This window comes from Homo sapiens, chromosome 1, assembly GCF_000001405.40.
Source record: "Homo sapiens chromosome 1, GRCh38.p14 Primary Assembly".
Lineage (NCBI taxonomy): Eukaryota > Metazoa > Chordata > Mammalia > Primates > Hominidae > Homo > Homo sapiens.
This window is the reverse complement of record NC_000001.11, coordinates 162,845,038-162,869,326: the sequence shown is the minus strand read 5'-3', so window position 1 is coordinate 162,869,326 and position 24,289 is coordinate 162,845,038. Positions and strand designations below refer to the sequence as shown.

At 39.9% G+C, this 24,289-nt stretch overlaps 1 protein-coding gene across 2 annotated transcripts, besides 1 other annotated feature; it reads left to right on the top strand.

Annotated features, from left to right (window-relative positions):
* Window positions 1-493: 493 nt before the first annotated feature.
* CCDC190 (coiled-coil domain containing 190) lies at window positions 494-18,307 on the top strand. Of its 2 annotated transcripts, none has more exons than NM_178550.6 (4): window positions 494-674; window positions 9,669-9,867; window positions 13,569-13,695; window positions 13,968-18,307. In NM_178550.6, exons 2-4 carry the CDS (start codon window positions 9,681-9,683, stop codon window positions 14,560-14,562), a joined length of 909 nt encoding a protein of 302 aa, NP_848645.3. In that variant the 5' UTR covers window positions 494-674; window positions 9,669-9,680; the 3' UTR covers window positions 14,563-18,307. The 2 variants fall into 2 exon arrangements, with proteins under 2 accessions (NP_848645.3, NP_001380994.1); NM_001394065.1 differs by lacking the exon at window positions 494-674 and adding an exon at window positions 8,152-8,319 and having other exon boundaries at window positions 13,572-13,695.
* Window positions 14,754-15,048: an enhancer, noted in NCBI's record as "tiled region #14373; K562 Activating DNase unmatched - State 12:CtcfO". NCBI's record gives its function as "activates a minimal TATA promoter and a strong SV40 promoter by Sharpr-MPRA in K562 cells {active_cell/tissue: K562}" and the evidence as "EXISTENCE:reporter gene assay evidence [ECO:0000049][PMID:27701403]".
* Window positions 18,308-24,289: the final 5,982 nt, after the last annotated feature.

The window sequence follows — 24,289 nt, the reverse complement described above, 5'->3', positions numbered from 1 at the left end:
GGGGCCCTAGAACTCCCAAGGTTATAAGCCCTTTTTCTTCTGCTACCAGGGTAGGTAGGGAAGGACCATCAGGTGGGGGCGGGGCTAGGCGTGTCTGAGCTCAGACTCTGCTTGGGTGGGTCTCGCTTGGCTGCTGTGGGGGATGGGGGTGAGGTTCCCTTGTCAATAGAGTTGTGTACCCAGGATTATGGCTGCCTCTGCTGAGTCACGCAGGTTGTCAGGGAAGTGGGGGAAACCCAGCAGTCACAGGCCTCACCCAGCTCCCACACAAAATGAAGGGCTGGTCTCCCTCCCACCATGCCCCCCCGCAACAACCCCAAGTCTGTTTCCAGGTGGAGGCTGTAACAGGGTTGAAAACTTGCCCCAGGCTACCGGCTGCTAAAGAAAAGGGCTTGGTTCGTCCCCCACCTGTGGAGTCTGCACACCAGATTTGCGCCCTCCCCTGAGTTCTGACCAGGAGGCGTCTCGCCCCATCCAAATTGTTAAAAAGTTCAGCTGGACATTTCCCTCTCCCCATGGAGTTCTACCCCTGCTCCTCTGGTCACCCTCCTGATGGATCCCCATGGTGCCAGGCAGGAATGGCCTGCTAGGAGATGCAGTGAGCCCCCAGGACCTCTCCACTGCCTCCTCCACCCCTGTATTTCACTTGGCTCTCCAAATTGACTCAACTCCAGGTAACTTCTCCCACAAAGAGGTCTTCAGTTTCTCCAGTGGGGGTGTGCGTTTGGGAGAGGAGGGTCTCCCTTTCCCACTTCCACAGCTGGGACACACAGCATTTGGGGTGTTCTCCCGGGTCCTGCAGGAGCAGTCCACTTCCTCCAGAGGGTCTGTGGGTCCTTTTGGGATTGTTGATTTGTTCTTGCAGTTGATCTGGAGCTAAAATTCACAATTGACAACATGAATCTTAATCTATGAAAGTATAATGTTAATGTCTTTACCTTTCTCAGGGCAAAAAAAGAACCTCAGAACAATTAACTGTTCTTTTTTGAAAGCTCTGTGCTGTGTTACTTTGAATTATCATTTTCCAAGTCCCAGTTTTATACATTCAATCTTCATTTAGATGTACCCACATGTTTACCACTTTCTTTGCCCTTCATTCCTTCTTGTATCTTAGTCCTACATCTAGAAACATTTCTTTCTGCTTCAAATACATCCTGCAGAATTTTATTTAGTGGAGACAAACTCTATTTTTTGTTTACTTGCCTGAAAATTACTTTCTTTTACTATGATATTAAGTTTTTTTTAAAATCAACTTTACTGAGATAAAATTTATATCCACTAAAATTCACAGTTTAAGTCCTTAGGTTGTTGGCTTCGACAAATATATGCAGCAAGTAATTATCACCTCTGTCTCCCAGGAAAGTTCCTTCATTCCTTTTTGTAATCAGTCTTTATCTATACCTCTCAGCCCAGGCAACCACTGATCTGATCTCTGTCATCATAGATTAATTGTGCATGTTATAATATTTCAAATATATGGAATCCACTTCTCTTTTCTATCCAGCCTCTTTACCAGCATGTTATCTGTAAGATTCATTCATGCTTTTGCCCATATTAATGTATCGTTATTTTTATTGCTGAGTGGTATTCCATTGTATGGATGAACCACAATTTGTTTATCAGTTCACTTGTTGATGGTCATTTGGGTTGTTTCCAGTTTGCGACTATTATGAATAAGGCTGCTATACAATATTTCTATACAAATCTTTTTATGAGCACATGCTTTCATTTCTCTTGGTTAAGTATCCAGCAGTGGAAGTGCTGGGTCATATGTAAGTATATGTTGAATTTTGTAAGAAATTCCCAAAATGTTTTCCAAAATGGTCATACCATTTTATGTTCACAAAACCAATGAATAAAATCCAGTTGCTCCATATTCTCACCAATACTTGCTTTTACCACTTTTTTTAAATTTAAATTGTGCTAACGGTAAAAAGGGTTACCTCGTTGTTTTAATCTTCTAATGACTAATTAAATTAAATGTATATTCATTTGTTTATTGGCCATTTGTATATTCTTTTGGATTGTCTATTCAAGTATTTTTTGCATTTTTAAATAGAGTTATTTGTGTCCTTAATGTTAAGTTGTTGGTGTTATTTAGATATAGATAGAGTTTTTTGGTTAGGTTTTTTTGCGTTGTCAATATATTCCAACAGGTTCTTGCTTGCCTTTTGTTTTCCCTCGTAGTGTTTTTTTAAGAACAGAAGGTTTTAATTTTTATTAAGTCAATTTTATCAAATTTTTTCTTTTATAGTTTGGTCTTTTTTTCTGCTATATAAGAAATCTTTGCCAAACTCAAGTTTACAAAAATTTTCTTTTCTTATTTTTCTTCTAGAAGTTTTGTAGTTTTTGCCAGCATGTTAAGGTATATAATCAATTTTAAAATAATTTTTGTGTAGGGGATAACATAAAAATTGAAATTTGATTTCTTTTCCACATAGATACCCATTGTTCCAATACTACTTGTAAAAAGAATATTCTTTCCCCCCCATTAAATTATATTGGTGTTTCTTTCTAAAATAAACTGACTAAATGTGTGAGTTTACTTCTAAAGTCTCCTCTGTGGTAGTGATCCTACATGTTCACCTTTATACCAACACTACACAATCTTATTGACTATAGCATTAGAATAAGTCTCGAAATCAGATAATATTAAGTCCTATATAATTTGTTCATTCTTTTCAAAATTATTTTGACTACTGTAAGTCATTTGTATTACCACTTGAATTTTAGAGTCACCTTTATTTGCCAGAAAAAAAAAGTCTGCTAGGGTTTTGATCATGATTAAATCTACAGATAATTTTTAGAAGAATTGGCAGTCTAAAATACTTAGGATTCTAGCCATAAACATGATATATCTCCTCATTTATTTAGGGTTTTTTGTTTTTTGTTTTTTGAGATGGAGTCTTACTCTTGTCGCCTAGGCTGGAGCGCAGTGGCACCGTCTTGGCTCACTGCAACCTCTGCCTCCCAGGTTCAAGTGATTCTTCTGCCTCACCCACCACACCCAGCTAATTTTTGTATTTTTAGTAGAGACTGGGTTTCACCATGTTGGCCAGGCTGGTCTCGAACTCTTAACCTCAGGTGATCCACTTGCCTCAGCTTCCCAAAGTGGTGGGATTACAGGCATGAGCCACCATGCCTGGCCTATTTAGGTCTTCTTTAATCTCCCTATAAAACATTTTGTAGTTCTATATTTTATTAAATGTATTTCTAAATGTTTTGTGATTCATTATGGTATTTTTAATTTACAATATTTTTATGTTAATATATCTAAACATATTTTGTATATTGATATATTATCATGTGATCTTGCTAAAATCACACAAGATATAAGTGCCTTACTATTTTCTCCACAGAAAATTATGTCATCTGTGAATAAAGACAGTTGTGCTTTCCTTTCCAGTCTGTATATCTTTTTCTTGCCTCACTGAAGTAGCTAAGTCCTCTAATACAATAGTAGAAGTGGTAAGAGCAAATATCTATGCCTTGTTCTAACTCTTTGGGGGTATTTTCCCATTAAGTATAATGTTTACTATGGGTTTATTATAGATGCTAATTATCAGGTTGAAGATATTTCCTTCTATTCCTAGTTTGATGAAATTGATATTGGATCTCGTGAAATGATTTTTAATTCAAATGATTTTATGGTTCTTGCCTATATTCTGTTAATATGGTTAAATCATGTTGGTTTTTAAACATCAAATCAACCCTGTGTTACGAGAAAATACATTTCTGTTCTTATAAATTACTTAACCTTAGGTATTTCATTATAGCGACACGAAACAGAATACACTGTTATTTTAATTTTTCACATGTATTAAAACTTGTTTCATGGCCCACCTGTGGTCTATCTTGATAAATGTTCCTTGTGCACTGGAAAAGAATGGGTATTTGTGGTTGGGTATAATTAACATTCTATAAATGTTAATTAGGTCAAGTTGGTTGATAGTGTTGTTTCAATTTCCTTTAGCCTTACTAATTTTCTCTACACTTTTTCACTAACTTATTGAGAAAAGGATGTTGGAGCCACTGACAATAGCTGTGGGTTTGTTCATTCCTCCATGTAATTCTATTCGTTTTTGCTTCCCATATTAGGTGCAAAATATTGTGGATTTTATTATGGATGAATTAATCCCTTTATTATTAAGAAATTACCCTCTTTATTCCTATTAATATTATTGGCTCTGAATACTATTTTATTTGGGATAAATATAGCTTTCTCTAATTTCTTTTATTTAGTGTTAGCATGGTATATCTTTTTCTATTCATTTACTCTTAACCTATTCATTTGTTCATACTTTACAAAAGTGTTTTCGGTTTATTTCTTTGTCAGCATGATATAGTGTGGCCTTGTTACTTTATTTGATCTGAAAATCTCTGCCTTTTAATGGGGTACTGAGACCATTTACATTTATTATGGTTCTTAATATATTTGGGTTTAAAATCTATCATCTTGCCATTTATTTCTTGTTTATCCAAATTGTTCTTTTATTTCCTCTTTCCTATTTTTCTGCTTTATTTCAAATTTAGTATTTTTTATAATTCAATTTTATCTTACTTGTTGATTTCTTATAATTCTTTGTTATATTATTTTAGTGGTTGCTTTAGAGTGTAGAGTATACAGCTTTAACTCATTACATTCTACCTTCAAGTCATATTATAATGCTGCAAATATATTATAAGAACCTTATAACAGTAAACTTCCATTTATTCTCACTCGAATTTTGTATTACTGTTCCCATGCTGTTTACATGTTTACATGCTGTAAATCTCACACTAGATTTTTCTGTTTTGCTTTGAACAGTTAATTACATTTTAAAGAGATTTATATAACAAGAAAAATAGTCTTTATACTTCCTCATGTAGTTACTATTTCTGGTGCTCTTTCTTTCTTTTTGTAGCTTTGGATTTCCATCTGGTATAATTTTTCTTTTGCTTGAAGAATTACCTTTAACGTTTCTTGAACTGTAGGTCTGTTGTTGAAGGATTATTTAAGCTTCTGTGTGACTGAAACATTATTCAATTTTCCTTAACTCTTGAAGATATTTTTGTTGAGTACAGAATTCTAGGTTGATTTTTTTCTTTCAGAACTTAAAAAGTTTTGCTCCACTATCTTCTGGTTTTCATCATTTTTGGTAGGAAGTCTGTGTAATTCTTATTGTGTTCCTCTGTATGTAATGTACCTTTTTAAATTTGGCTGTTTTTAAGATTATCTCTTTATTACTTTTTAAAATAATTTTATTTTATATACCTTGGAGAAGTTTAATTCATATATCTTTTGCTTGAGATTCATTGATATTTTTTTTTTTGAGATGGAGTCTCATTCTGTCACCCAGGAGTGCAATGGCGTGATCTCAGCTCACTGCAACCTCCACCTCCCGGGTTCAAATGATTCTCCTGCCTCAGCCTCCCGAGTAGCTGGGATTACAGGTGCCCACCACCACACCCAGCTAATTTTTGTATTTTTAGTAGAGAAGGGGTTTCACCATGTTGGCCAGGCTGGTCTCGAACTCGTGACCTTGTGATCTGCCTGTCTTGGCCTCCCAAAGTGCTGGGATTACAGGCATGAGCCACTGCGCCCGGCCTCATTGAGTTTCTTAGATCTGCTACTGTACCCTGCTAATTCTGGATACCTTGGTCTTTCTGAACTTACACCTTTGTCTCCTCAAGTCAGGAACCCCTGCCTCGTTGCTCAATTCTTGTGCTGTAGTCCGGAAACCCTTTCCAGACAGTAAGCTGTAGCAATAATAATGATTCCCTGGTTTGTTTCCACTCTCTCAGGGATCACCATCCTATCTGACTGATGTCCAGTTTTTTTTAATTTCATGAATTTTTTCTGCTTTTTTAAATTGTTTCATGTAGAAAAGTAAATCTAGTTCCTATTGCTCCATCTTTGCTGAAAATCAGGAGCTAACTTTTATTGGACATCTACTATACATGAATTACTTTAAATTGATCATTTCATTCAATTCTATCAGAAAACCTATGATAAAGATACTTTTAACCTATTTTACAAATAAGGAAACCAAGGGATAGGACAGTCACATAGTCTATAAATGACAGATTCTTTGATTCCAGATGTGTTTTGACTACAAAAGGGTGTGACTCCATGTAAAACAGAGAGAATTATAGAAAACTACACGGATGTGCATTAAAAATATATTCTGTAAAATTGTATTTTAATCAAAATCACTTTACTGAACAGTTTGAACTATTTCTTTCTCTGGTGGTGGAAGCAAGAACATGATCTGAGAATGATAGCTTTATACTTTCAATCACTATCTTCGCTGATTTTCTTTCTTGTTCCTTAATGATATCCTGGGCAAATTCTACACATTTCTTGCCATTTTGTTTATTAAAAAAAAAAAAGTCCATTCCACTTTGAAGCTCCAGTTTCACATATAATTTAAACTCCTCACTGGACTCCAGGAAGTTTGGAGATGGGAAAGGAGGATTATCTGCTCTATCATTCTTCCTTCTCCAACCCTTGGAGTGGAAAAGGCATGATCTTTTTATATACCTCCTCTCCCTTGTCTTTTCAACACTAACCATTTTAAGGTCATGGGCTAGGAGAGAATAGAGGAGGCAGAGATCTTCCTATATAACTGCCACATTTGTGATGCTAAGGCATGACTGGTATTTTCCTATCTATTCTTGTGTTCCTATGTTCCCATAGATAGATATTCCTGTCTATTCTTTGTGTTCTCGTGTCCTCTGCTTTCGAGATGTGTGGTTTTATGAGGGAGTTCATCTGCACTCACATCCCTTCTGTCTCTGCCTCCTTCTGGCCCTGCCTGTGATTCTATTTCCCCTCCAGATGAAGCACTGTCTTCCAAGAAGAGCAATGTGATGACTATGCCATGGTTTCCGCCACCTCATATAACCCCTCTGCTCCCTCCCATGGAGCCAGGTCCTCTCTGGCATTCTCAGAGGGCTGAGAGTAACTAGGATGGCTTTGGCCACCATTCTTTTCCTAGGCACTCCACACTAAGGCTCCTTCTTGCCCTTTAGCCATAGATTATTTCTGCAAGCTTTTCCTCTTCAGTTCCCTCTCAAAATGCCATGCAGGAACCAAGCTTTTCTAAGAAATCCCTCACTATCATCAGCTATAGTGGCAACAAAGGGATGGAATGGGGGCTGCTCTATTGTTCTGCAGTCAGCAAGCCTCTAGCTGGGGGTACAATCCCGATCCTGGTCTCTCCTTGTGTGGCATCTCATTCTCCCAGATAATTTTCTTGGAATCCCACCTCATTCATTTAAATTCTGGAGGTGAGGGAATTACCTCATGAGAAAGGATGGGAAAGGAACTACCTCCCACTGAGAAAATAGCATGCTCCTCTTCCTCCCTGCCACCCCTCGTAATCTCTTTATAATTATTTATTTGCTGGGCAGTGATTGTGGTTAGTAGGGCCTGTTTAGCTGCCTGCCTCTCAGTAAACTCTGGGGGGATTATCAGGCCCCAGTGTTGGCAGCTCTATTTAGACTGTGGCATATCAGTGCGTCTTATTTTCAGACGAAGCTCCAAGGCAACAGTAAAAATCCCACTCAGTATCTTGTTATATAAACAATAGCTCTGCTCAACCTTCTACGGTAGCTGTTCAAAATATGGGCACAAAAGTTGATTTTAATTTTACTTTGCTTAGTGCTGTTTTCACCACTTTGAAAATCTTGATAAGCACCGAAGTGCTCTGAGCATGTGGAAAGGCCTGGGGAAGGTCAGTACGGTGTGCAATAACACATAATAAACAAATTAACTTCTCTCCTGCACGAAGTGTGAACAGTCATGACAGAAAAAACGGTGCTTTCTTTTGAGGCTGACCTGGTTTTCAAGAAGTAGGAATGAAGGTTAGGGAAGGGAGGTATGACAAAGAGAGAAAAAAAAAAAATGGAGAGAAACGAGGAAAGGGTAGGAGAGAGAGAGATTGAGAACACAGTTACACACTCCTTGCTTTCATTCCTGGCTCCCATGGACACAGCCGAGAAGGAGCACTGTGGGCCCCTCTAGGGACAGGCTAGAAGCTGGCAGGCTTCTTTTACCCACAGAGCTATTTAGAGCTCTGGCCTCTCCAGCAGGGATTGGTGCCATGGCCCAAGGAGCTAGCATTCCTGACCAGGGGAGGTAGGGAGGGACGAAGAGAGCTTTCAAGTGTATTTAACATTCTCCTCGCAGCCCTCTCCAATGGTCTCCCTCTATCCTTTCTCCAAACACCAAACTCCTAAGTTTACTGAAGAAAAATAAGCTCATTAATCAAGACTCAGTCTGACATAGCAAAAGAAACAAGACATAGTCTCATGGTGAAAACTCTGGATTTGGAGGTAAGTTCTACTGGCCCTGTTCTTTAATAAAAGTTTAGTTATACTTTAGACTCTAAAACAAGTGCCTTAAAATGTATTTCTTTCCCATGTCCTGACCTTATCTTCCTTTTTAATGTTAAGCTTTTTTTCTGTATTATAATCACCAAACCTCGGCCGAGTGTGGTGGCTCATGCCTGTAATCCCAGCACTTTGGGAGGCTGAGGCGGGCAGATCACAAGGTCAGGAGTTTGAGACTAGCCTGGCCAATATGGTGAAACCCCACCTCAACTAAAAATATAAAAAGTTAGCCAGGCGTGGTGGTGCAGGCCTGTAGTCCAAGCTACAAGGGAGGTTGAGGCAGGAGAATCGGTTGAACCCAGGAGGTAGAGGTTGCAGTGAGCTGAGATCGCGCCACTGCACTCCAGCCTGGGCAACAGAGTGAGACTCTGTCTCAAAAAAAAAAAAATCACCAAACCTTTTATTGACAGCAATCTGTTTATATCCTGAGCACATGTTGTGCTCTTAGCTCTGAGAAAAGTATTATAGAGACTCAAAGGAGAGAAAAATGTGTCCCTACTTAGCGCTATTTAGAGGAGAAAGAAGTAGGTGTGGGCTTAGACATCAGGGTACATGGAGGGAGGAGAGCATCTAAAGTCTGAGAAGATGGGTGAGGATGAGAAGAGGAGCTTTCGCCCAGTCTAAGCAGCTTCCCCAGTGTTGCCCAGACTACTCATCGTGGATGCTGTTCTACTTTATAATCAGGATACCCCAATCTTCCACTTTTCGAGAAAGCCCCTTGAGAGTAGGAACTGGGCCTCATTCACCATTACTCTTAGCTTTTAGCATAGCACCTGGCATACAGTAGGATTACAGGCTGAATGAACCTACGCATATGTGAATTAATGAACTGGCAGGGTGTGGGAAGGAATGGCCGTGTCCTAAGTTCCTAAATCCTCTCCAGACCTCTGAGCAGTCTCTTTGGGAGCCTTTAAGAAACAGTAAAAGAGGCTTTTCTTATTGGGTAAATAATGCCTTATATATGTAGACTGCCTTTTTTTTTTTTTTCCAAAGAGTTGTTCTTACACTTCTCACTTGATCTTCTTGGAAATCTGACTGGGATCTGTGTTGGGGGAGCCTATTGTATTGTATCACTATTTTATTGACAGGGAGGCTGAGGCTCAGAGGAATGACTACCCTCAATCCTTCTGTGTTACTCTGGAAACTCATTTAACAATAGTGTGATTTCATCTGACTAGGCACCTGTGGTTTCAGAAATACACAGGTTCTACCACTGATCTCTGATTAAAAGCCGGGGTCAGTATCCCAGTCTTCCATTTATCAGGTTATTTGTGATACCTTATTGTCTCTAGACCATAAAGAAGATGGAGAGGCACATGGTCAGGGGACAATTGTATAAGCATTTTGATTTGGAGAGGAAGAATGCCAAGCAGGCTGAAGCCAGACTGGACCAAAGACTGCAGAGACTAAAGGTTATTTGCCTCTACCATGTGAAATTGCTGACCTGGGAGCAGAGGCAGCTCCAAAAAGAACTGCAGAGGTTGCAGCAAGGTAAGACTTTCAGGACTGGTGAGGAGGATGCCCCAGAGGCACAGCAGGGCAGCAGGCCCATCACTCCGCTGAGGCCCTTTCAGAGCTCTGAGTGCCAAGACAGCAAGAGCTTTTGATCACAGCCAGGACTTTAGGCTGCCTAACCTTCCTTGTCCCTCCCCTGTCAATTACATAGCTCCCTGCAGCAGCCTACTCATAAGCCTTCTTGAGCTAACATTTCTCAGGCTTCCAGTCACTGCCATCTTTCAAGTTAGCTCTTTCTTGCTTAAATCCTTCGTTTTCTACTTTTAAATTTTATTTTTCATTTTGCTTTTCTTTCATTATCTGGGCTGATTTGGTTTCACCCCTTTTTAAATATCTGATCTTTCTCTTTTGGATCTAACAACAATTTATTGAGCAGTTACTCATGTGCAAGTCACTGTCCTAGCCCACTTTATGAAAGTTAAAAAAGAAAAAGAAAAGAAAGAAAAAATTTCTCTGGAATTAGTACCTCAGCTTCCTCCAATGTAAAATAAAAGTATTTCCTATGTTATGAAGTTATTTGAGGATTCAGTGAGCACTTGGAATAGTACCAAAACATAAAGTAAGTGCTATATAAGTGCCCACTCTTATCAATTAAAAATTGTTACACAATTGAAACCCTTCTACTGTCTTTGTTGAAAATAGTCACAGTTGTACAGTCTGTAGAAACTAGTTCTCCTTTGTTCATCATTAAAATAATTAGATTTTAATATTACTTAAAAATTCAGCACAGGAAAGAAATATCTCAGCTCTTGAAGACTACATCCTTTCTTACTGAAGGAGAGTGCCAGAACTCAGGAGTCTGAAATGGACAGAACATGTTCAAGAGGAAGGCCAGGTGCTGTAAACGAACATAAAATATTTCAGGTCAACACAGCTTATACATGACATAAAGGCCAAGAGTAACAGCCAAATGTCTAGGCTGGGAATTCTTTCTAACCTCCAGCTTTGGGTTTGAAAGATACTCTGAGTAACTAACTGAAGTCCTCTGCTTTCAATTTCCCTGTCTGCAATAAATGGTTAAACCAACCTAGAATGAGAGCTCACATACTGGAAAAGGGTCTTAGAAGCCATTTAGTTGATTCCCACTCTTATTCAAAAAGGACACTGAAGATCAGATGCCTACTTTTAGGAGGGTGTACAAAAGGCCAGGCCCTAGTAAGTGGCTTTCCTGGCTGAGTAAAGAGTTGGGTTGGAAAGAGTATGAATCAGGAGGCAGAAAACTTTGATTCAGGTGCTTCTGCCTCCATGTCCTTTGGGAAGTCATATTCTCTCTAAGCCTCAGACTTCTTGACAGTAAAATCAGGGATACAGGAAGGAAGCAATATGTATTAAGTCTCAATATTTCTTAGGCACTGTGCTAGGCAATAGTTTTCCATGATTCATTTAAATGGAATTGTTATTGAGATTCAATGATATGCCAGTGAGTGAATTATTTAAGATGCATGTTGCCAGTCCTTTGAGTCAGCAGGTTAGAAATTAGGCTTAAAAATCCACATTTTTAACTGAGATGATACTAAGGTAGATTATTCTGGGACAGCTGTATTTCAGACCAGACTTTGCAAAACAGCTACTCAGGTAGAGTCTGGAATGCAAATATGAAAAAGCATGGTCTCTGCCCTCAAGGTGCCCATATTTAAATTGGACAGTAGTTCCGCTTATAAAAAATGATGATCAAAACTGCTAATTGAGTTCTTCACAAAGTAGGGCAGGAACATAAAAAGGTTCCTGTGTCTATCAAAGGAATTTAGCTAAGATTTCCCAAAAGACACAGTATGTGAGCAGAATCTTAGAGGAGGAGGAAAATGGGGGAAAGGGCGGGAAGTTTGTCAGGAGGACGTATGGAATGGGGCCACTCCCAGCAGAAGGAATAGTATGTATAAAGGCGCATACATGATCACTGCTTGCCTCAAATAGCTCAGTACTGCAGGCATGTGACATGGAAGTGGGGAAGAGGAGGTGTAGGTGCAGTTTTCAGAGACAACACAAAATAGCCAATGTCTCCAATCCAATCCAATCATGAATGGCTTCACAGGTCTTGCAAAAGAGTTGAGAGTTCACCCTGTAGGGTTTGAGACTGGTGAAAATTACATGCTCAAATGTTAAAAAGATAATTCTGGATGCAAAGTTTAAGGTAAAATAGACCTCAGACTATAGTCAGAGTAGACCTGATAGAATTACAAAGTTCAGGCCATGGTTTCAAGGCCTAAACTAGGGCATTGGTCAGGTGAAGAAAATGAGAAGATGAGCATCTCAAGATATTTAGAAAGTAGAATTGTCGGAGCTTTAAGACTAAATATATATCCAAGGGTAAAGAAAACCAGAATCAAAAGTATATTACCTGGCACAAAGTAGGCGCTCAAACGAGCTTGTCAAATCTGGTAACTGGGTGGGCAGAAGTACCATACCTTCACAGAGAGAACATTGGAGAAACATCAAGTTTCAGAGAAAAGATATGTTCATTTTTGAACCTATTGGGCCCATAGGTCTAAATTTCAGAAAACAGATCTTGCTGGGAGAAGTAGCTCAAAATCCCTCAATTTATATGGAATAGGTGAAGTTCTTACATGGAAGAAACCCCCACAAAAGACCCCAAGGAGACAACAAAGGAAGAAAGGCTCACAAAGAACTCTTCCTTGCTCTGATCACTTCACAAAGAAGTGATCATATGAAAGAATATTGGGAGTCAATGTGAATTCTGGGTTCCCTATCTGGTCATATTCCCTCTGCTTAGTGCCTACTAACCGAACTGTAGATTTAAAGAGTTCTCTCCCATTAGAGCAAAACTAGTCCAAGACTTTCAACTCTAAATGACCAATTCATGAGATGTCTTAAAAACTGACTGAGTTCTCCATAGCAGCTATGACTGCAAGATGCTAAAACATCAACTCAACAAGTGAAAAGTCCACTTAGTCACGGCTGGCAGTTGCAAACTCACAGGTGGGTAGGAGGTCACATAATTGTGGTGAAGGAGACAATCCACTCACACCCAGTCATTTTGTTTTTGAAAACATTGTGCTTGCCAAGTAAAATGTTCAAAGGAAACCTCCAGGGGCTTAGCTGGTTTAAACCTCTGATCTTAGTGTTTCTAAATCCTCTTTAACATATACTACGCAAACACTGGAAAACTGCTTTAAATTTTCCATTTCCATCTATCACACCAGATCAACCTAATGTGTAATATACACCAAGGTTTATACACATTGGTTCTCTGAAAGCCCAGTTTGCAGAATTATTTTTCTTCTTCTTATATTAGTTTTCTAGGGCTGCCATAACAAAGAACTATAAACCGGGTGCCTTAAACAACAAAAATTTATTGCCTTACAATTCTAGAGTCTAGAAGTTCAAAATCAATATGTCAAACATGCTGGTTCCTTCTGAAAATTGTGAGGGCAGGCTCTGTTTCAGGCCTCTCTCCTTGGCTTACAGATGGCTGTCTTCTCCCTGTGTCTCTTAGTGCTCTCCCTGTGTGTGTCTGTGTGTTCTAAGTTCCTTTCCTTATAAGGACACCGGTAATATAGGATTAGTACCCACCCTAATGACCTCATTTTAATTTGATTTTCTCTGTAAAGACCTTATCTCCAAATAAGGTCCCACCCTAAGGTACTGGGGGTTAGGACTTGAGCATAAAAAATTTAAGGACACAATCCAACTCATAACACTTCTTAATTAACTCAAAGCAGAAACCATGAAGAAAAAGTTCTCCTCTTATTTGGGGAATGGATTTCAGAAGAGACCAGAAGATGTTCTCGTGTTCTCACCACAGGGAAGGCAGAAGCACAGAGCCCCACAGGCTAAGAAAATGAGGTAAGAAATGGATTACTAAACCCATGGGTATGACATTAAGTCTCTCTTCCCAAATGACCTCTTTAAACTGTTTTCCTGAAGAAATGCTCCGTTCCACTTCTTAAGTGAGACATTTTCCCTGCATTGTTACTACTCAGTTTCACCCTCCACCCCATTCCCACCTATATTACCTTGGCCGATACTGAAGGGGGCCACATCCTAATAAGTTGAAAGGTCTAAAGAAGAGCCTTTTTATTGGTTTTCAGAGATCTTTCTTTTATGTCCTTTCTCAGAGCATTGGCAACCCGTATGGCCCAAGACACATGCAAAAGCAAGTCCCAGGTGCCTCCTTCACATGATGCTGGCCTCAAAGACCCCATGAAGAGCAAAAAGCAGCCACTCTCTCAAAATAACAGAACTGCCTGCTTCATAAAAGAGCAACCACAAGCCCAAGAGAAAGATTCTGTGAATCCATCTAAGGACGTAGACCCCAGCAAGGGCATCTCTGTTCCATGCCAAAATCAAGAGGTTTCCACCAACACCATAGAACAAGGTCCTAGTTCCAGCCCAGCTAGTGATAGTGGAATGGCATGTGCTGATGAGACCAGATCAAAAGATGTTGCTCTAAAGCCAGATGGGAACACTGGAAAACAAATTCCCCCAAAACACATGGAATGTGCAGGAAGCTTCGAAGGCGAGTTCACAAAGCCAACCTTCTTAGAGTTGCTTTCAAAGGCCAGAAATGCCCATTATCTCCGGCACAGGGTCCCCCCTGAGTCTGAGAGGTTGCTTAGCATTGGAGAGATATTTGGGCATGGGGAATCCTCATCATCCAGGGCAGGAAAGGAGTGTGAAAACAGGGTGCCTTCTAAGTTTCTTCCTCTCTAACCGTTTAACATAGCCTGACAATAACATATGCCATTATTGCTAAGGAAATGTGTTCCTCAAATGACTATATTAAGCAATACAGAGAAAAACAAACAAACATAATTGAATTACAATTTTATTTTAAACTCCCTATTATTTTCCGGGAATATAATATTTCTTGAATGAACAATGCTAATATATGAAAAAGGAGAGGAAGAATGAATCTTCTGAAAATATTTTAAGTGATATGTTTATGATGTCATCAAAAATATGAATATATATTGATGACTGGACTTGGGAAAACAGTAACAGTCTTGCTTTCAGGGACTTCCTGTTTCCTCTAGGAGATTCTCATGGTGCCACCTGCTGGCAAAACGGCATAGCTATTCTCTCTGTTTTAGTTTGATATATAGTAGTGGTAGGAATAGGAATGTGATTGTAAATAGGTACTGTAACATGGTCTATAAAGAAAATCTGCTCTTTAACCACACCCACGTGCTCTCTTTGGAAGCCCTTTCCTTCCTTCCTTTATTTACAGATAGCTCCATTTTAGTTTTCACCCTCCCACTTTCAACCTGCTCATATCAAATTTTTTGAATCCTATTGAAAGAATAATGGACAATCTTTTCCCTCTCATATCTTCTAGAATCAAAGGATTTAAAAAACTTTTAATCATCTCCCAACATGCTGTCAAATGCATAGCAGACTCTATCAAAATGATTTCACTGTAAAATGAGAGGTACTAACATTGTTAACAAGCTATTGTTTCAAGTAGGCCTCTATGTCTTGGGCTACACTGTAAAAGAATCGATTAGATTTTGTTTCCCATCCAACAGACCCAAATATCACTCTAAAAATAAGTAGTATCATAAGTCATTAGAAAATAATAGCTTTTTGTTAATGCGTTTTAAACTTACTGTCTACCTAATGAAGTGTAGAATAAAATCATCACCACTTTTTATCTATACTGACTCTATCAGGAAAACCATCTTGCCCCGTGGGTCTCAAAGAAATCATGCCTCTGTGGTGGGTAAATTCAAATCTTCAGCCCAATAACAAACTTTAATTCCAGAAGAATAAACTTGAGGGCCTATTTCATCTCTGGCATCAATAGTTGATGTAACCCAGCCTGGGATATTTTGATGAAACAAGATTATTTAGCTCAGAAATGATAAAGGACCCCAACCTACTAATATTACAAAGGGCCTGAAATGAAGATTAATTCATATTTAATTTATAGTTCATTAAATATAAATTTGAAGTATATTTAATTTGAAAACATTTCATTTAATTCAGATTTAGAATTCCTTGTGTTTAAAAATAGTAATTCCTAATAGCTCCTATTTTTCAGTACCTCCCCCTATCCTGACACATTCCACACAGCATGCCAACTGATCCTCAAAACAATGCTGCAAAAGTTTTCTTTGCAAAATAGTTTTCTTTATCCCCATTTTACAGATAAGGAAATAGAGGGAAGAGTGGTGGTAACTTGCTAATAGATGGCAGACTAGCATTTGATCTCTCTTCTACTCAATTTCCTTGCTCATGCTCTTTCATTACACCACACTACCACCTATCTGAAGACAAAAACTTAGATCAAACATTTGAGAGTCAGTTTCATCAGCCCAGCCTCTGGCCTTCAATGGGGAGACAATACTTTATAGTGAAAGGAACACAAGAAATCTGCTTCCTCCAACACTTTCTTCCATGAAGCAAAGCAACAGAGGAAGGCAGGCCATAAGTGACAGAACTGATTGATTCACAAAAACTTAATTTATTTGCACCAGCCATGCCTGGGCCAACATGAATAGGCATACAACAATTAGAGAACCCCTTTGTAAACTGCGCAAGCTCTTTCCTAAAAGTTCTTTCTTCTTGTCTTCTACGCAAGCCTTGCCTATCGTCATCACAATTCTCCCTCAAGGCTGAGTCCTGAGTGAATGGTTTGTCACTGCTAAGTGGGTCTTTTCACTGTACTAGCTCTCACAGCGGGAAGGGGCCATCACAAGGCAGGAGGGAGCCAACTTCAGCCTAGTTCTCTGTTCCAGGTCCACCTCAATCCTGCCATCTACAGAAGTGAACATTCTGCATGTTCCTCCTTGCTATCTTGCTTGTGTCTTCATATACATCTGACAGACCCAGATCTGTCTGCACTTCTAAAATCAATATTTTAGTACATCCTGTTTTAAATAATATTCCATGCATCGCCAAAAAATTATACATTTAAAAATCTTCTAACCACCTAGATTTTATCTTCTTATCATTTAGTCTAATACATTTGCCTTCTTCGATACAATGGATGTAATACTCTGATTAGTACAACTTAACTCAATCAAAGAGAACGCTGCTGCATGGAACCTTTCTTGTGTAACTCATTAAATTCTAAACAGTTTAAATCCTTAATCCTGACGTGGCACACGGTGCTCTAGGATGGCTTGCTCTCGACCAGTCCATGGCCACTTTACTTATACCAGTGGTTCTCAGCTAGGAGCAAATGTGCCCCCTGTCCCCAGAAAACATCCAGCACTGTCCAGAGATATTTCTGGTTGTCATAACTGAGGTGAGGGGGCTGCCACTGGAGTCTAGTAGGTAGGGACCATAAATTCTATAATACATGGGGCAGCCCTCTAAAACAAAGAATTAACAAGCCCGAAACATCAATAGCGCCAAGATTGGAAACTCCACCCTGTGCCATTACATTAAATATTCACAGAACCTTCTGAGACAGAAAATCAGGGAGATACTTGCTGCCATTTTACAGATAAAGAAATTGAGGCTCATGATAAGTAAAATAGCTTTCTCCATACCAGAATGTGGATGAGGAACAAAGACCAGGGTACTCTTTTCCCATACTCTCCTCTCAAAGAAGATGGGGAAGGGCATGTGTCCGATGGCTCCTGCCCTCGTTTTCAGTTAAGAAATGCTTTCAACCCTACAAATACAAATCTTTAACATTCAAATTAGTAACACATGGTTAGAAGGGATAATTTATACTTCAATTTTGAGGAAACATTTTTTATTACATTCATTCATTCATTCATTCATTCAGAGATGTACTGGGGACAGATGATCCCTTCCCCATTTCCTCCCCCATGAGGAAGAAGGGGCTTTTGACTTGTTGCCTTAACTCATTCAATGGGAAAAGATTCCATTTTTCACCTACAGGCAGAGGCAGCTGGAAACTCCCAGAAGTAGAGGCTCAGTCTCTCTGGAGGCTACTGAAGAGCACCCTGAAGGGTGTCACAATCCTCAGTGTTGGGGGAAAGTTGGGTAAGTTTTTACCATGAACACTGGAGGGACCAGCTCCTCTCAGGGTGAAATGAGCCTTGAAGGAAGGACAGAGGGAATCACGCTTGGGCAAGTGTTTTGCCCTCACACCAAGAGTACCAGGGAAGCAGAGGGTACCAGTCCAAACAGATGTCAGCAGCTCTATCTCACCAATGACAGCCAGAATAGCAAGCAACCACTGCAAAAAAAAAAAAAAAAAAAAAAAAATGGAGAGGAACCAGAGGTGTGTGGACCATTGCGTGAACCAACTCATTCCCTCACCTCCAACCACACCTACTGGGTCAGACATTCAGGCACTGAAGACAGAATAAGGGAGAGCGGGCAGCCAGGTCCTCCTTTTCTGCCTGAGGCCACTGCAGTAGAACAGAAGTTCCACGGGTGGAGAAGAAAGACTTTAAACTGGATGAGAACCATAAACAATAATAACCTAAATGCAGTTAAATGAATATCTACCGGAAATAAAACTTTTAAAACAGAAGTGCATGGAAGTTATCAGATCAGACTGAAATAATATTAAGCAAAGTTGGTCATAGTTACTAGGGGTAAGAAAAGATAACCATTCCATGTTTACACCTCACCAAACTGAGATTTCTCAACCTAACCTATATAAAGATGCATTGCACTGAATTACACTGACTATAAGAAATACAGGTCTTTGGCCGAGCGCGGTGGCTCACACCTGTAATCCCAGCACTTTGGGAGGCCGAGGCGGGCGGATCACGAGGTCAGGAGATCGAGACCACGGTGAAACCCCGTCTCTACTAAAAATACAAAAAATTAGCCAGGCGCGGTGGCGGGCACCTGTAGTCCCAGCTACTCGGGAGGCTGAGGCAGGAGAATGGCGTGAACCCGGGAGGCGGAGCTTGCAGTGAGCCGAGATTGCGCCACTGTACTCCAGCCTGGGTAACAGAGCGAGACTCCATCTCAAAAAAAAAAAAAAAAATCAGGTCTTTATTTTATGGTCCTCATCTCAAATGTGGGTTGGGGCATGTGTGGCCCCCTTAAGATTTATAGGAAAAAAATGTTTTACATAATTAGGCATAACGCAAACTATACCCTAACTTTTCCACCTTCCCACCACTATTTTGAATATGTTGCTGCTATATGTCCTAAGAGTAGGCATCATTAAAAATTGTAAATGAAATTTAATGTAATTAGTTAAATTATTTTGAACTACTCAAGTTTAATCCCATTGAACTGGTTGCATGAAACTGGGCAATGAGGAAACCTTCCTGGTAAAAGGAAAACACATATAAATACACATACAAAGACCCCAAATACACATAGCACATTTTGGTTAGAATCAAACTGAATACTCGCATGGACCCTCTCAACTCAAAATTATTAATAAAAATAAATCTTAGTTTAAAAAGGAGTGATAAAATGTATACATGCTGTATATAAAGATGTTTATGCAATTCACTACTGGAAAAATTTTTGAACACTCTTGCTGAGGACTATTTGTTCATAGTGAGGTGGAAGAAATGAGACAAACAGCATAGACCAAGTGTTCAAAACTAAAGGACAAGAGCTAGGACTGCCAAACCAAGTGACCGATCCAGCTGTGGATAGAGAAACAGAAAGTGAGCAAGCGTCTGCCTGCATCACTGAGACCCTTAGCCTACTTCCCTCCTGGCTTCCCCTGGAGCTCCAGCAAGTAGGATAGTATGAGCAGAATAATAGTGATGCTAGTAATTATTTTGATATTATTAAATGAAAGAGCAGATATAATTTTACAGAAGAGGTATAAGAATTCATATTTGAATGATATTTTTTCTTAGAGGATTTTCCCCTCATTTTCCTTAGGGAGTACACACTCACACAGACATTCAGACCCACAACACTCTTTTTAAAAATGGCCATAAAAAGAAGGTGCCCCTGAGGACTCAGATGGTAGTTCACTACAAGCGCTCATACCCGCAGTATGCTAGCTATCAGTATGCTGGTGGGAGGTGATCATGTTTCAGGGAACTAAGGGTGAATGGCAGCCCTAATACAGTTTTTTAAGTCCCAGCAAATTTTGTTAAAAACATTTGGCAGAGTCTTTATCCAGGTCCATCTGAAAAATACAAGCAAAATGAAGTATAAGTTGGTGTGATGGATAATATTAAGCATCAACTTGACTGGATTAAAGGATTCAAAGTATCAGTCCTGGGTGTGTCTGGGAGGGTGTTGCCAAAGGAGATTAACATTTGAGTCAGTGGGCTGGGAAGGCAGACCAACCCTTAATCAGGGTGGGCACCATCTATTCAGCTGCCAGCACAGCTAGAGTATAAAGCAGTCAGAAAAATGTGAAAAGACATAGCACATTTTGGTTGGAATCAAACTGAATAGACTGGCCCAGCCTCCCAGCCTACATCTTTCTCCCGTGCTGGAGGCTTCCAGTCCTCAAACATCTGACTCCAAGTTGTTCAGGTTTGGGACTCGGACTGGCTCTCCTTGCTCCTCAGCTTGCAGATGACCTATTGTGGGATTTTGTGATCGTGTAAGTTAATACTTAATAAACTCCCCTATATACATATATTATGGGGATATATACATATATACATAAACACATATATGTATATCCTATTAGTTCTGTCCCTCTAGATAATCCTGACTAATACAGTTGGGTCCCAAAATAAAGAAAAATAAAATTAATTAAGTTTGGACTAAAAATGACATTTGGCATAGTCTATAGGAAGAGAATTAAAAATCTAGACAGAAAGAGATCAGCAAGATAAGGCAATTCTAGGAATCACAGGGAACTTAAGAACATGTTATCACATGGTTCTAACTCCATCCCTTACCAAACCAAGTGGGACTTCTCTTAAACAGAAAAGCTGGCACGTCTGAGCTTTGCTGCCCCCGAATATCTTTGTTTCTGTAGCAGAAGCACTAACAACTGGTGTCATGACCAAATAGAAAAAAAAAAAAGTCCCTAATACAGGTTTTAATACCAAGCCTTGACAGGGACCTCAATTCTAAAATCAAGACTTTTCCTTAATTGTCCCTGCAGCGATAAGGTGAGAAGCTTTTTCTCATAACAACTGATTCCCAAGGGTCCTTCTTTCATTATTGAAAACCTATACAGACTTTCCTTTTGCCTCATAGCTAACTCTCCAGGGATGGAAAATAATTCACGCTCAGGAGAATGTACTTTGGCTAAGGGCAATCAGAATCCCTAGGTGGAAAGTTCTACAGCTTACCCATACTTTGCCATTTAATCCTAAATATCACTAAAAAAATTAACAAAACTTTACTTAGTAACAGAAATAACTATCTTATTTATACTAGTGGTTTTGGGGTTTTTCCATAGGATATTGGAACTGGTGGAATTTTGGGAGTTAACCAGCTTAACCCCAGTTCAAAGGTATGAAGTGACTTCTTCAAAACAAACCAAAATGAACACACTTTCCCACCAAAGAATATTAGTTTAGAATTGAACGTTTGTTCACCCTGTGTAAACCAATGCTGCCCCCTAGTGGCGAAGGTGGCAAGTTCAAGCAAGTCACCTTGAGGGCCAGGAAATTAGTAATTAGGCTAATATAATTTCCCAAAGAGCATTGCAAAAGATCTTGTTAGGTGCTGTCAGAAAAAAAAAAGGACTCTGGGTTAAAATAAATTTGGAGAAACCTGGGTTAAACAATGAAAACAAATTTCTCTATGAGACTTCTCTAAGCCTTTAATATGCTAATGTCACTGTGACTGTCAAGGGGGAAATCACACCACACTGAATTCCCCCAAATAATATGACCATGAAAACTTTGTCCATAAATCATCTCCAGGGACTATTACAATCCACAAAGCACACTTTAGAAACACTTTCCTGGAATGAAAAATAGGTTAAGAGAGGCTTTTTATCTTTTACAGGTCAAATAGTCAGCAAAGACCTCATAAATTCCAGAGGGCAATAGCAGGAATGACATTTTCCTTAGAAGATATTTTCCTCCATTTTTCTTACAGGTATTCCCACATATACATGACATACACCTGTTCACAAGTGCACACATACACACACAAACATTGCCACACCCTCACTCAAAAATATTGTTAGAATTAAATGGAAATGTTAAGAAACTGGAGAAATATCTGTGGCTGTTTTGGCTGGTTCATCTGTGTTACATGTGTTCTCGGGGGTAGTCTTTGCTTCATTTTACAGGTAAGAAATCTGAAGCTTAAAGATTTTGAACTTCAGAAGTCCAGCAAGATCCTAAACAGGCAGCAAGTACTGAGCTGGGGACCAAGCCTATTTCTATCTAGCTCCAAGGACCCTGTTCTCCCCACTACATTATACCGCCTAGCTTGCATCCATCCAAAAGTTCAACAATGGCAACAAAAGTGCCCGCTGATGCAGGCACTGTGCTTGGGGCTAAGGGTGAACACATATCCCACACAGTGATCTTGCTTGCCGTCTAGTGGAATCAACAGGCCCCAAAGCAAATTAAACAAAAATTGGTGTTACAGTCACGGTCATTACCTATTTCCTCACGTCTACCGCAAATGATAAACATCGGTCATGGTCATTCTTTCTTTCTTGCCAGAGGCTTGTTTAGAAAAGAGCAAGTGACTCAATCCTTCTCAGTTAGACATGAAGGGAAGTCTCCTGAAGACTTCTGGGAAAGACATTCCCATTCCTAAGAAATAGACACAGAGAAAACAGTTGTTTCCATCCTTTAGACACTGTCCTATCTGGATGTGACTTCCTAGATGTTGCTTCTGGAATATCTGCTACAGCCATCCTGCTCCAGTGGGAGGAGGAAGCCCAGGGAGAGATGAGCAGGAGATAAGCTGCTGAGTGGATGTGCTGAAGAGCTGGAGAAGTGGGAGATTCAGATAATGAAAAACTTGATATTGAGGGGACTACAAAACTGACCGTCTAAACCAGAACACTTCCAAGAGTGAAAAGGGATGCTACTAATAAATAAACTGAGGCCGGGCATGGTGGCTCACAGCTGTAATCCTAGCATTTTGGGAGGCCGAGGCAGGCGGATTGCCTGAGCTCAGGAGTTCAAGACCAGCCTGGGCAACACGGTGAAACCCTGTCTCTACTAAAATACAAAAAATTAGCCGGGCATGGCTGCGTGCACCTGTAATCCCAGCTACTTAGGAGGCTGAGACAGGACCCCAGCGGCGGAGGCTGCAGTGAGCAGAGATCGGGCCACTGCACTCCAGCCTGGGTGGCAGAGCAAGACTCCATCTTCAAAAAAAAAATCAAAAAAATAAATAAACTGGGACAAGAGGCATACAGTGGAATAACCTACTTACATACTATGCTGATCAGTCTGGACTTTGTCTGGGCCTGGCTACTTCAGAACTTTTAAAAGGTTAGAGCCACTTCTGGATTTTATATATATCTTTCTGGCTGCTATAGAGAGAAGGGCTTCCAGGGTAGGCCAAGAATCAGGGGATAAAACTGTAGGTCTGGCTAACATGAGAGAGGTTGAGGGACCCAATGAGGTCAGAGTGGTGTAGATCAAGAAGAGGGGAAGATTAGAAAAACGTTCAAAAGGAAGAACGTGGTGGCTGCCTAGGTCTGAAGAAGGAAGGTAAGGTGGGATTCCGGTCCCTGGCTTGGGCATCTTCATGAAAGATGAAGCCATTTCCAAGAACTTGGAAAACCCAAGGAGTAATGGCCCTCCCCTCTTGCTGGGAAGACCCTGGCAACCAAACTTGGAAGGCTGCGGGATGCTAAGCTCACTGGACCTGCTGCATGGACTTGTACATAAGATGCTATCTTGATGTAGAAAGTAACTTGGGGGTTGGGAGAACTGTGCTAGCGCTCTCAATCTTTCTGAAAGAGATTAACAATTAGAAAAAAATTTGAAGAAAGAGAATTAGACAGTGGCTAGGAGTCCAGTAGAAACTGTCAACAAGAGGAGATAGAGGGCAATATATTGCGATGTGTCTGAGGCACAGGACACATCAGGGAGACAAAATCTTGCCCTTGGCAGGAGCTACTTCATGCCTGGATTTCTAGGCACTCCTATGTTTTGGCTATAGTCAAATCATTCTCTTTCTTCCAAGAATCAATCTCTCTCTCTCCCTTTTTTCTCTCCTTGTTATTTCATCAGTTTTAATACAACTAGGGGGAAGGCTGAATTTTATTAAGCATTCTGATACACAATTAAGATAATATATGCAACATGTTGGTTGCTGGCCAGGGGCTAAAACACCCACTGCTGTATTTCTTGAGAATCATTCATTCAACAAATATCTGTATTGAACACCATTCTGTGATTGGTGCTGTTCTTTCATTACAGAAAATAGAATACAAGGTATGATTGTTGCAGTCATGGCCAACTTCCAGGCTGTTTGTTCATGCTTGTGAAGCTAATTTAATAAAGATGTCTGATAGATGGATATTTGGCAAACACACACACACACACACACACACACACACACACCACTCTGTTTCCTCCCAACCTCCAAGTAAATCACCATATCATATTTCTCTACAAGAGCCAAAAGTGCTCTTGGG